Source organism: Homo sapiens, chromosome 5 (assembly GCF_000001405.40).
Source record: "Homo sapiens chromosome 5, GRCh38.p14 Primary Assembly".
NCBI lineage: Eukaryota > Metazoa > Chordata > Mammalia > Primates > Hominidae > Homo > Homo sapiens.
The window spans coordinates 66617229-66630852 of NC_000005.10; the positions used below are offsets into that span (position 1 = coordinate 66617229).

Genomic DNA, 13624 nt, shown 5'->3' on the forward strand with positions numbered 1-13624 from the left:
AAAATGTGGCTAATGCATCGTAGCATGCTGTAGGCCTCCAAGAAGGCCAGTGCTGAGCACTGCACAGTTGCTTTATGTGCATTATGGCATTTAATTCCATCCTCAATCTTGCCAGTAAGGTGGGGGATATCACCATTTCCTGGTTAAGGAAAGTGAAACTTACAGAGGTTAAATTTACTCATGATTCACATGATTTCAAAACCAGTGTTTTTTCACACTTTGGGTCAGTAAAAGCAGAGAAGGGTTATTTTTTTTTTTCCTTTTAAAAGTTTCTCATGAATGGACGTATCAATTTATTAACAGTTACTTTTAAAAATGTAAAAGATTATGTAGAGCGTAATTGCTGAGCTGTGCCTGAATTCCTGGCTCACAAAATTGTGAGTGAAAATGAAACAGTAGTGGTTTTAAGCCTCTAAACTTTGGGACAGTCTGTAGCACCCAGTAGATAACCATACCCTTTGTTCTTTCTGTTCCTCTTGTCCACATGCATGCTCACCCTCTCTCCACAATCCACCCCTCCGCATGGTACCCACTTGAGGAGCTTACCATAGAAGCACAGATTTGGAAAGGCCAGTGACCATTAACAAAGTAAAACATCAACGCGTACTAATAAAGGGAGAAAGACAATGCTCAGGAAGGCCAGGAATGCAATAAGCAGAATATTTAGCTTGTGTTCCTGGCAGCTGGGGTTGGATAGGGAACTAGGTGCTAGGGCAGTATTTTTGGTCCCTGCTTTGACTCCATTTGAATCCCCTGTGGAGCTTTGACATCGTCTACACTGGGAGACCCTCATTCTGGGAGGAATGGGGGGGGGGCCCTGATTCTGTGTCTATGCGTGTTAAAGGCCTGCCAGGTGGTTCTGTGAGTAACCAGGGTTGTAGGAGCACCGGCCTCCCGCCCGTTGGCTTGTGGAGAAAGAGAATCTTTACTGCCGAGTGCTCTTTCCTGCCCACGGCCTTTTCTGCGCAGGAACTACGCTAGATGTTTGCATGCATCAGCCCTTTGATCCTCACAGCAAGTCTGAGGGTGCAGGGTAGTAGCCCCATTTTATAGGTGAGAAAACGGGGGTTTCAGAGAACTCAAGTCATTGGGTCTTCCAGTAAGTGACAGGGTTAGGATTTGGACCTGTTTTCCTTTCAAGTGTCTGACTTTGTTACTCTCTGATTTTCCCTGACCTTCTCCCTCAGTGTAACAAAGGATTTTGGACACTTGGTTCTACTTGCATTGTTCGTGACTATTTTTGTAACATGTAGAAGACTCTAGATTTTAGTGTGTATGCTTTTGCTTAAATTTAAATACAAATTTATGTCACCACCCCAGCCTAACCTGTTGGATGAACATTAATGTCTCATTACAGAACTAAACACTTCCCTCTGTATTGAAGGGAGACAGACACGCTGGTTTAAAAGGCTTCAGATTAACTAGATGCGACTTTTGATGTTTACCCTGATCACTTTTGAGTGGATCCTCAAATAGCAAGGCAGCTATTAAAAGTGTTACTCCCATTAGGAATATTGTGCTTTTCATTTCCTTTAGTAGTCTGAGAATCGCTAGTGCACTTTTTGTAAAAAGAAAAGGATTTTTTTTTTCTGACTTAATTTTGCTGAACTGATGGATATTTGAGTATGTGAAGAGAGGAAACAGAGAAGGATGCCTGCCTCTCTCCCTTTCCAGGGCATCGGTGTCTTTCTGTGGTCTGTAAGCCTGGAAAAGAATGTTTTCCAACAAAAGCTCCATTTTATAAATATAGCATTCTTTTCTTGGCAACGCACTAAATGCTGGCCTGTCACCCCAAGTCTTGTGGAGGGTAGTAGGGACAGTGAAATAGAAGAAATTAGCAGGTGAAGAGAATAACACTTGTCTATCTAATACTTTTTGGTCATTTGTTAGTGCTTTGTTCCTCAAATAGAAGAATGGCCATTGTGAGAGAGTAACTTTTCCAGGAGTAACTATAGTAGACGGTTTTGCATTTGGGGACTTGACGGGATGTTTGCTCCTGAATCTTTGAGCTCAAAACACATCAGGGGCTTGCTGGGTACCAAATTATGCTGTGCCACCCTCAGAGTAGGGACTTGGTGAGTGAGAGCCCCAGGGCATATGTATTTCACTCACTCGGAGCTGTCAGGTCTTATCAACCTTCGTTAGGAATATTTTTCTCCCTGAAAACTCATAAAAATTCATGTTGAATATCAATGCCTGCAGAATCCTGTGGAATTTTGTTGAGCTGCTTATACCCTTTTCTCCTAATAGAGATATAGAGAATGATACATTCTCCTCATATACACGGGTACAGATGTGTGCTTGTGAATCTATACAGGAAGCTCATGTATGTGGCAAAGTAAGTTTGTTGAGGGGAATGAAATAAACTAATTTTCCCTCCACCGAGTCAATATGACTAAGATATTTCTATGCATAGTCTCAGAAGACTCCATTCTGGGGAATATTTTAAATTTTATTAACCTTGTACATATTTTGCCAGATTCCTATTCAGCATACTTCTTTATTTTATTACCATAGTGATGCTTTGTTTACTCATATATCTGGAAATAAAATAATTTAGATTTAATTTTTAAAAAAAATTTATATCAAGGTCACCTTTTTTGTTGTTTGAAACAATAGATTTGTAAATTCTTACCAACACTGTATATGTCCTTGAGTCCTATAAAGAAAAAAGTGTTTTATATATTGTAAATATATATAAAATATCAGAAAGTAGGATATATATTATACAAGATATGTGGAATATATGGGATATATATTATACCAGAATTTTAGTATTTTAAATATAGGTCTTAAATGGAATGAAAGACTTAGGTTGCTTTTTTTTTTTTTTTTTTTGATGGAGTAAGGAAAGGGATAGTACTTAAAAATAATTGTTACCTGGTTATTATAGTTCGCTGTTAGCAAAATATTCTATAGGACACATCATATCCCATGATGCTGAAGATGAAACCCTGGTATAGTAGAAGGTGGATGCTTGTGTTTTCTCTAGCACTTTCACAACAAAGCAATTATATTGTATTGCATGTAAATATTTGTGAGTGGGGAAAATATATAGAAGTCTACAATACTACTTCCCCTCCACATTAAAACCATATGAAGTTATGCCTACAAATTAAAATATTGTAAAAGCTCAATACAGTTTTAAATTTTTCAACAAAGTTATGTAGTACTTCTTTATTTGTAATAATAAAAAGTATCATTGTGTGAAATTAGTATGGGCACATTATCTCTAATACTTGCCGTTAATAATGGCATTGAACCCTAACTGATAGCCTTTAAAAAAAACAACAAAGCATGGCCTTTAGTAAAACAAAACAATATGTGACATTTCTGTAGAAATGCTGTAATAGAGAAAAATTTAGCTCTGTGAGCAGTAGTCTCATTTATGGGAATGGTAATTATCTGTAAGTTGAGACTTAACATTTTTGTAGATTTTATGAGAAAATATTTGCTAGTCCTTGTTTTTACATCTTTTTTTCGTCCTGCCTCTGTGTCTATCTCTCTTTTCTCCACCTCATATGGGGACAATTCTGTTTTTACAGGTCCTGATTTTTTTTTTTTAAATGTCTCACCAGAAGTGATAACTCATTTTGTTAGAATGGTAGGGAGCTCAAAAGTGGAGGATTGTGACTTCAGTTGTGGCTTAATCAGCCCAAGCAGGTGCATTCTAAGTAAAAGAGATACGGTTTTAATGCAACTGTCCCCCCTAATTCAGAGAAAGGGAGACAAGTATAGGAAATGACACAGCAGTTAAGTCAGAATTGTTTCTAAATAGATTGTTTTTTTTTTCCCTGAATTCTCTGAGCACCAGCAGCAGTGTCTTGTTAAAGTGAAGAGAGATATAAATGAAGAGGAGTTGAGGATGACTGTGTTAATTTTTTGTTCTGAGGGATCAGAAATACTTAAGAAAAATGAAGTCGGAGATTTACATAAATAGGTGGGAGCCTCAGTAGTGTCATGTTCATTTGAGAGTAGAATTTGATTCTGGGGACCTCAAATAACAGAAGATGATTATATTCAAAATGTCCAAGGCACTACTGTAAGGCAACTTAAATGGCATGTGCCTTAACAGGGTGGCTTTGTAGTGAGGTTCTGGAATTTTTCTCATTCTTTTGTCTCGCAGTGTGCTATTGTATGAGTAGCAGTGAGAAAATGTTTGGATAGCATGTCTAAGAACCAGAGCATGCAGAGAAAACAGGGCTTTTATTCTACTTTGCATCTTAGTTAATTTGGTTTTTAGAGAAGCACACTATTTTGACTTGAAAGGCATTAGCCATATCTTCTTATTTACTTGAGTGGTGGTTACAAGAGTATTCTATATTTATTTATTACACTTTGCTCTTATGTTTTAGGTATTTTTTGCATATTTCACAATAAAAATGGTTAAAAAAAGTCACTAGTGTATTCTAGACCTTTCAAGTCAACCATACCAATTTATTCATTCCTCCGTCTACCCAACAAATACTAATTGAGCACCTACTGTGCATCGGGTACTGTTACTGGCACTGGGAATACAGTAATGAACAAAGCAAGCAAAAGTCCCTGGTCTCATGGGGTTTATATTGCATGGAGGGGAGGCAGATAATATGTCAGGCAATGGGTTAGAGCAGGAGTTGACAGTCGTCTTCTATAGAGGGCCAAATAGTAAATACTTCAGGCTTTGTGGGCCAGATGGTTTTTGTCGCAACTACTCAACTCTGCCACTGTAGTGTGAGAGCAGCCATAGCCAATACGTCCATGAAAGGATATAGCTGTGTTCCAACAACACTGCTATTTACAGAATCATGCAGCGGGCCAGATTTGACCCACAGTCCTCCTTAGTTTGCAGACCTCTGTGTTACATGGTAGTGTACCCTAAGGAGAAAAAAAAAATGGAATATGGAGTGCTGGGGTGTGGGGTGAGGGATATTTATAGATTTTGACAGCATGGTCGAGGAAGATGTTTCCGTGAAAGTGACTTGTGTAAAGATTTGAACAAGATGATGTGTTTGGCCATGTGTCTATCTGGAGAGAAGGGGAAACAGCAAGTGCAAAGGCCCTGAGATGGAACATATCTGGAGAATTCGAAGAATGGTAAGAAGGCCAGAGTGGAGCAGAACAAGTGTGGGAGAGAGTTGTAGGAGATGAGATCAAAGGCTAGGAATGAAGTGTAAGGCCATGTCATGTGACCTTGTATGTCCTTGTAAGGCTTTTTTTTTTTTTTTCTAACTTGGAAATCAGTTGCATAGTCACTGGAAGGTTTTAAGTAGAAGGGTGACAAGATCTAATTTTTAACAGGCTCACTGGCTTCTGTATGGATAATAGATTAAAGAGGCTTGGAGTGAAAACAGAGAATCAGTTAAGGGTTACTGCAGTAATCAGGTTAGAGGTGATGGTGCTTGGAGCAGGTTGACAATAGAGGTGGTAAGAAGCAAACAGGCTCAGGATGTGTATTGAACATAAACTTGACAGGGTTTGCTCACAGAGTGAAAATGGAAGATGATAACTGGAAAAATCAAAGAGGACTTCCAAGTTTTTGGCCAGGTGAACTCAAAGGGTAGAGTGCCATTTATGGAGTGGGGAAGATGTCAGACAACCAGCCTAATAACAACCTTGCGGCACAGAATCCCAGACCCAATAAAGCACCAGACAGAGATGTCAAGCTAACCAAGGTTATGCCATCTTCTGGGTTTGTGTGTGCCCTAATGGCCATAGGTGCCCTGTTCCTAAGGCTGCAGCTTGTGCTGTCCGTGGTGGGGTTTGCTCATAGCCTTCAGTCTGTTGCTAAGTTATGGACTTTGTGCTACTATGGGTCCCTGAGAGTCCTGAATTCCTATGGGACAGGTGAAGATGACCCAGATCCTTTGGGTGAATCCCTTTTGATCCATAAAGTTATCAAAAGAAACCCTGATATCCAGTGGGTCACCAGGGAAGCCCTCAAACACAGAGAGATGTGTGGGCTGACATCTGTAGCTACAAGGATTATGGCCTTATAAGAACCATGGTTCAAAAAACTAATACCAAGCCCTCTTAAATGCTTTTCAAAAAGTAGAAGAGGAAACATTCCCAGACTCATTTTATGAGGCCAGTGTCACCCTGATTCCAAAGCCAGACAAAGACACCACAAGAAAAGAAAACTACAGGCTATAATCCCTGATAAACATAGATGCAAAAATCCTCAATAAAGTACTAGCAAATATCATTCAGTAGCACATTTTAAGGATCATACATCATGACCAAGTGGGATTTATCCCTGGGATGCAAGGATGGTTCAATGTACATACAATATGATATGCCACATTCACAGCATAGAAGATAAAAACATCATTTCATCAGATGCAGAAAAAATATTTGACAAAAATTAACATTATTTTATGATTAAAAACTCTGAACCAAATAGGCATAAGAGGAACTTAGTAAAAGCCATATATGAAGGACCCACAACTAACGCTATAATCAATGGGCTAAAACTTAGTTTTTCCTCTAAGATTTGGAGCAAGGCAAGGATGCCATATGTCATCACTTCTCTTCGACATTGTACTGGAAGTCCTAGGCAGAGAAAACAGACAGGAAAAAGAAAAGGCATTCAAATTGGAAGGGAAGAGGCAAAATTATCTGTTTGCAGGTGTCATGATCATATATACATGGAAAATCCTAAAGACTTCACAAAAACTGTTAGAACTGATCAGTGAATTCAGTAAAGTAAGATACAAAAATCAACATACAAAAACAGTGGCATATCTGTACATCAACAATAAACTCTCTAAAAGGAAAATTAAGAGAATCTCATTTACATTAGCAAGAAAAGATAAAATACTTAGGAATTAAGGAGGTGAGAGACTTGTACATTTAATTATAAAATATTGATGAAGGAAATTTAAAACAAATGGAAAGATCTCATGTTCACAGATTGGAAGAATTAATATTGTTAAAATGTTTTTTTTTTTTTTTTTTTTTTTGAGATGGAGTCTTGCTTTGTCACCCAGGCTGGAGTGCAAGTGGCATGATCTCGGCTCACTGCAAGCTCTGCCTCCCGGTTTCATGCCATTCTCTTGCCTCAGCCTCCCCAGCAGCTGGGACTACAGGTGCATGCTGCCACGCCTGGCTAATTTTTTTGTATTTTTAGTAGAGATGGGGTTTCACCGTATTAGTCAGGATGGTCTCAATCTCCTGACCTCGTGATCTGCCCGCCTCGGCCTCCCAAAGTGCTGGGATTATAGGTGTGAGCCACAGCGCCCGGCCTGTTTAAATGTTTATACTATGCCAAACAACAGATTCAAAGTAATTCCTATCAAACTCTCAATGGTATCTTTTACAGAAATAAAAAAACTAACCCTAAAATGTATATGGGACCACAAAAGACCCTGAATAGCCAAAACAATCTTGAGCAAGAAGAACAAAGCTGGAGGCATCCAACTTCCTGACTTCAAATTATATTACAACGCTATAGTAATCACAACAGCATGGTACTGCTATAAAAGCAGATATACTGGCCAGTGGAAAAGAATAGAGAGCCCAGAAATAAACCTACATATTTATGGTCAACAATTTCTGTAAGAGTGCCAAGTGTGTAACGGGGAAAGGATAGACTTTTCAGCAAAAGAATAAAATTGGACGCCTGTCTCATACTGGTCACAGAAATCAACTCAAAATGGATGAAAGACTTTAACATAAGACTTGCAATTGTAAAACTCCTAGAAGAAAACAGGGAAAACCTTGACCTTGGTCTTGGCAATAATTTTTTGGATATAGCAACAAAAGCAAAAATGGTATTACATAAAACTAAAAAGCTTCGTCGTAGCAAAGGAAATAATCAAAATGAAGTGTTATTTTTTTGTACATGCAAAGCTCTAGAGCATGACCTAGCATACAAAAAACATTAACTATTTATATTCTCCTAACTCTGGTGGTCTCCCTCAGCTCACTGTGACACTTGGCCTTATTGTTCCTTTCCTTCATGTGTGCGTGTGTGTGTCTTCTCCAGCAAGATTATATTGCATATGGGATTCAGGTTGAGATAAATGAAAAGACAACCTACAGAATGGGAGAAAACCTACCTCTGTTGCATTCGGTTTCCTTCTGTGGTCTTTAAGCCTGCAGAAGGATGTTTTCCAACAAAAGCACCATTTATAAATACAATATTCCTCATGGCAGCACTGTAAATGCTGGCCTGTTACCCCCATGACAGGGATATAACCCTTGTTGAGTAAAAATATTAGCAAACTGTGTATCTAATAAGGGATTAACATCCAAAATATATGAAGAGTGAATACAACTCAATACCAAAAATACAAATAATCCAATTAAACGGGCAAAGTACCTAAATAGGTACTTGTCAAAAGAGAAAATTTAAATGGCTAACAGGTATATTTAAAGGTGCTCAACATCTTTCATCATCAGGAAAAAGAGTCAAAACCATAAAAAGAACAGATAAATGTTGGCGAGGATATGGAGAAATGGGAATCCTAGTACACAGCTGGGAATGTAAATTAGTATAGCCATTATGGAAAACAGTATGGAAATTCCTCAGAAGATTAAAAAAGGAAGCACCATAGGGCCCAGCAATTCTACTTCTGGTTAGATAGTCAAAGGAACTGAAATCAGGATCATAAAGAGATACTTGCACTCATGTTCTTAGCATTATTCACAGTAACAAAGATGTAGAAACAACCTAAATGTCACTCAACAGATGAGTAAAGAAAATGTGGTATATATGTGTACAATGGAATATTATTCTGCCTTTAAAAAGAAGGAAATCCTATTTGCAACAACATGGGTGGAGCCAGAGGACATTATGCTAAGCAAAATGAGACACAGAAAGAAATATTGCATGATATAACTTAACATAGAATCTAAAATATAAATAATCTAAAATCTAAAATGTATAGAAGCAGAGAGGAGAGTGGTTATGGGATGATATTAGTCAAAGGGTACAAAGTTTCAGTTAACGGTAGATGAAGTTCTGAAGATCTAATGTACAGCATGTCGAAGATAATATTTTATTATATACTTAGAATTTGCTAAAAGGGTAGATCTTAAATCTTCTCATATACACACGTGCACAAATGATAACTGTAGGGGTAATAGAGATGCATTTCACAATGTATATGTTTTCCAAAGCATCAAGTTGTACCCCTTAAATACACAGTTTTCATGTTCACAATATCTAAATAGAGCTGTTAAGAAAAATCATGGGTTCCATGCACTACTGATGGTTCTCACTGTATATCTTGGAGAAGGTGCAATACTCTTCCGCTGCACTGTTAGTACATTTAAGTAACATGTAAAATACAGCACCAATAAGCAATTTAGGACAGTAATATCTGCTTAAAATGTTCTGTAAATTCTCAGCTAGAACATTTGCAAATTGTTTCCCAAATGCATTGCAAATTTATGACAGTTAAAGTGCAGTAATGATTTAAAGACTGTAAGCAGTGTTTCCTGTATCTTATAAGACAAATGCTTTAGTTTTACCTTTATCTCATTAGAGAGTTATATGTCAGTGCTGAAAATGCCATGCTGTAAGGTATAAAAGGTATAAAATCCTTTCAAGGGGTGAGGGTTGAGATTTCTGTTAAACACCTAAGTGGAGATGTGAGGAAAAAAGTTGGATAAAAGCCTGGAAGTCAGGAAGGGACACCTAAGCGAGGGATGTTTGGGGAGTCTGCTGGTAGGGAAAGCTGTGGGACCAATGGGATCATTGGGATAGTTAGCAGTGCCCAAGGCACTTCATGACTTACAGGTCAGGAAGATACGAAGCAACTAGCAAAGGATACTAAGTCAAATGGCCAAAGATAGGAGGTTTGTATTAGTTTGTTCTAATGCTGCTAATAAAGACATGTGAGACTGGGTAATTTATAAAGGAAAGCGGCTTAATTGACTCACAGTTCAGCAGGGCTGGGGAGGCCTTAGGAAACTTACAATTTGGGCGGAAGGGGAAGCAAACATGTCCTTCTTCACATGCAGCAGCAAGGAGAAGTGCCAAGCAAAAGGGGGAAAAGACCCTTATAAAGCCATCAGATCTTGTGAGAACTCACTCACTATCACGAGAAAGGCAGCATGGGGATAACTACTCCCATTCTTCAGTTACCTCCCACCAGGTCCTTCCCATGACACATGGAGATTATGGGAACTAAAAGATTAGATTTGGGTGGGTTCACGCCAAACCATATGAAGGTTTAAAAGGAAAACAGTGGTGTCCTGGAAGGAGCATAAAATGGTGTTTTGAGGAAGAAGATGTGATCAACCATGTTCAGTGCTACTGAAAGGAAGGCAAGACTGAGAAGTAAGACTTCACCAGGGTAGCAGTCATAGATGACTTGCTTTAGAACATTGTGTTCGTGTGAGAATTTTTAGATCAATGGCTGCAAATAATTAAACTCAGCATATACAATTTGGGCATCTGTGACCTGCATTAATGACTGCCATCTTTCTTCTAACCATTTATCATGGTCATTATCATTTTAGTATTATTAAAGAAAAAACTTCTAGCAAAAACTAGAGTTTATCTGTTAAAAAAAAAAAGCTGAAATAGGGAGCTGTAAAGCTGCTTTTACAACATTTTCATTGGTTTATTCCCAGTTAAGTCATGTGACTGTGGGATCTTGCATATTGTCACTCCAGTTTCATTGGGTTCACACTATGCCCTTTCAGAGTTACTGGAAGTTTGAACAGATTAAGTACCTTTCAGCTCCTCTGGACAAAATGCCATCTGTGTTCTGCCCCCCACCCCACCCCTACCAATTGCTATTTTATGTTGCTAAAAACAAAAGTTTCTTTGATTTTTAAAATTTTTTAAAATTGATTTTTAAGTGTTTGTTGTTGTTGTTTCTTGTTTTAGAGACAGAGTTTTGCTCTCTCGCCCAGACTATAGTGCAGTGGTGTAATTATAGCTCACTGCAGCCTTGAATCTCCTGAGCTCAAGTGATCCTCCCACTCTAGCCTCCCGAGCAGCTAGGACTATAGGCACACGCCACCACACTGGCTAAATATTGTTTATTTTTTGTGGAGGTGGGATTTCCGTATGTTGCCTAGGCTGGTCTCAAACTCCTAGGTTCAAGCATTCCTCCCGCCTTGACCTTCCAAAGTGCTGGAGTGACAAGCATGAGCCACGGTGCCTGACTTTTTTTCTTTTTTTTTTTTTTTTAAGTAGGCTCCAGAACTGTAAAATAAGGTCATTGTGAGTAGATCAAAGATGTAGGGGGAAAATGCTGCTTATCTATTTAGCTAAAATGACATGTTGATTATTTACAATGATTTCATCTAACGCACTCAGGCTGAATTCCTTCCTATTGATTATAGAGGGAATTCTACTAGTGCTCAGAGGAGAAAATTAATAGATCAGGAAATTGGAGCAAAGGAAAAATTATTATTATTTTTTTTACCTTCAATCAACTTGCCCCAGCAAAGGGAAAATTAAAGGTAGAGGGGCGGGGGGAAAGTCACGGTGAAGTTAGCATACAAGAATGTATGATAGCAGATCCTATGTATTTGCTGGAAGAGGAGGGCCAAAACTTGCTTCTGGATTTCGTAGCATTATAACAGCCTTGGCAAAGAAGGAAACATGATTATGTGATTCAGTGTTCTGAAAGCAAAAGCAAAGCAGTTAGGAGAAGCAGAGCTTTTCTTGGTATTGAGGTCTGATAAAATTTTCCATAACATAGGAAATGTTGAATAGTGAACATACAGTGTCCTCAGCAATGTCCCTGCAATAGATAGTCCAGAGTTACCTAGAATTGTATAATATCTTACACTGAGAGATCATGCTAAAAGCATGATTACATTAGGGACCCAAACAATGTTATCATTTTTTGGAGAAAAACCTTCACAGCAGATATTGATGTTGTCCACTTCATGATATTGTCATCTTCATGTGCTTTGAAAGTTGAGTGGGAGAGTGCAGGCTGAGGTCTTTCGGAAATTGAGCCTGCATTGATAATCACCAATATCCAGGGACAGAGAGCCAAGGAAGGCTGGGCTTTTACTGGAATCCGTTTAGATAAAAGAAACATACTTGGCATATAAAATATGTTCTCCTTGCCCCCAGATTCCTGAAGAAGGCTTGTTGCAAATTCTGGTTTTGACACTGGTGGTTTTACTGCAAACTAGAAGAGGTGAGCATATTTTCAGGGAGATCTACATTTAATACCTGTGCAGTTAGCTGTGTGATGAGCCTGGCGGACTTGTGCCTTGGCCTCTCCCTTTGGAAGCCTTTTTCTTTCCATTCCCTGCTGTCCTGCTCTGCTCAAGTTTTAGCAAATTACTGAGAACATTTCATATTTAAGATTTTGAACCATTTCCACCTGGGCCCACACATATCTCCATTTATCTCAGTGAAAGAATTTCAAGTGGAGCTTCAGTGTGTTTTACCACATTTATAGCAGCTGCTGTCTGCCTGTCTCCCATTCCGTTGGTATAAATCAAAATGTGGTGGAATACTCTGAGATATTGTCAGACCACAAGGAATCGTCTGCCCATGGCCTCTGGGCTGCTGGGAGCTGATGAAAGAATGGGAACTTGTGGACTAATATTGAAACACCTTATTAACAAGTTGTTATAGTGTTCAATAATTTTAACCAACTGGAAAGATGTCTATGAGTGGTTAATCACATTTGAATAGGAATATAGTTTTATTATCGCTTCTTGGCCTTTTGGTTAAGATCAAGTGTAGGAATATAGTTTTATTTTGAAACTTTGAAATATTTGCCTTAACTATTAACTTGTAAGTAACAAAGGATGGAGTGGTGGGCTTTTTCAGAATGGGGTAAAAGGTTTAATACCAATTTTTAACTTGTTAGGTTAGATCTTTATAGATAAGAAAAGACCATACTAGGGAGTGGTTCTCAACACTGGGTACATATTAGAATCATTAGAGGAACTTGGAAAAAAAAATCCTTGGTCCCACTGTCTAGACCAACCAAATCAGACTCCTGGGAATGGGGCCTAGGTATTGCTAAAGTTTCCCAGGTGCTTCTGATGTGCAACCAGGGGTGAAAACCACTGCTCTAGGATGTCACAGACTCTGGCCATCAGAATGCAGTGATATCAAACCATAACTTCTTGGTTATAGACAATTAGTAAAGTCTTTAAAACTTGATCACTTTTGTTCTGCAGCATTATCATGTCAACTCCGCATCCTGTTTTCATCATTTTGGGAAAATTGTGACTCTTCAAATACAATGGGGAATAGTTATAATTTTGGATTTTGTGATTTGCGGGGAGGTGACTTGGGTAGTATCTAAACTGAAGTTTATCCTTGTTCTATCTTGAAAAGGAGAGTTTGTTATAGGCAGCATAAACAAAGTTGTAAGGGGAGTTTAATATAGGTTATAAAACAAATTTACAAACACTTTAGAGTTTATGTTGAAATTTAAAGTATTCACATATTATATATATTATTTTCTCTAAATGTTCTATAAGATTCCACCTGGCAAATCTCATTAACTGGTTTTTATCACAGTATGTATAGTTAAACTTGGACTATTTAGAGCTCTTTGAGAAAACATTATTTCATTATCTCAGTTTTCTCAGATAGCTTCTCCCAGCAGAGAACATAAGTACTTAAAAATAAAGAAGTGGTTCCATAGAGTGATCTCTCTGAATCTCTGGTGCCTTATAGATTTCTAGATAATTAAACTGTTTA

General features: G+C 38.2%; 1 protein-coding gene across 8 annotated transcripts in view, besides 3 other annotated features; it reads left to right on the plus strand.

Annotated features, from left to right (window-relative positions):
• Positions 1–13624, plus strand: part of MAST4 (microtubule associated serine/threonine kinase family member 4) — a 573201-nt gene that overhangs the window by 20836 nt on the left and 538741 nt on the right. The gene's annotated exons all lie outside the window — the stretch shown is intronic.
• Positions 381–460: a silencer, noted in NCBI's record as "silent region_16067". NCBI's record gives its function as "represses an Ori minimal core promoter by ATAC-STARR-seq in GM12878 lymphoblastoid cells {active_cell/tissue: GM12878}" and the evidence as "EXISTENCE:reporter gene assay evidence [ECO:0000049][PMID:35858748]".
• Positions 7070–7119: an enhancer, noted in NCBI's record as "active region_22620". NCBI's record gives its function as "activates an Ori minimal core promoter by ATAC-STARR-seq in GM12878 lymphoblastoid cells {active_cell/tissue: GM12878}" and the evidence as "EXISTENCE:reporter gene assay evidence [ECO:0000049][PMID:35858748]".
• Positions 7220–7279: an enhancer, noted in NCBI's record as "active region_22621". NCBI's record gives its function as "activates an Ori minimal core promoter by ATAC-STARR-seq in GM12878 lymphoblastoid cells {active_cell/tissue: GM12878}" and the evidence as "EXISTENCE:reporter gene assay evidence [ECO:0000049][PMID:35858748]".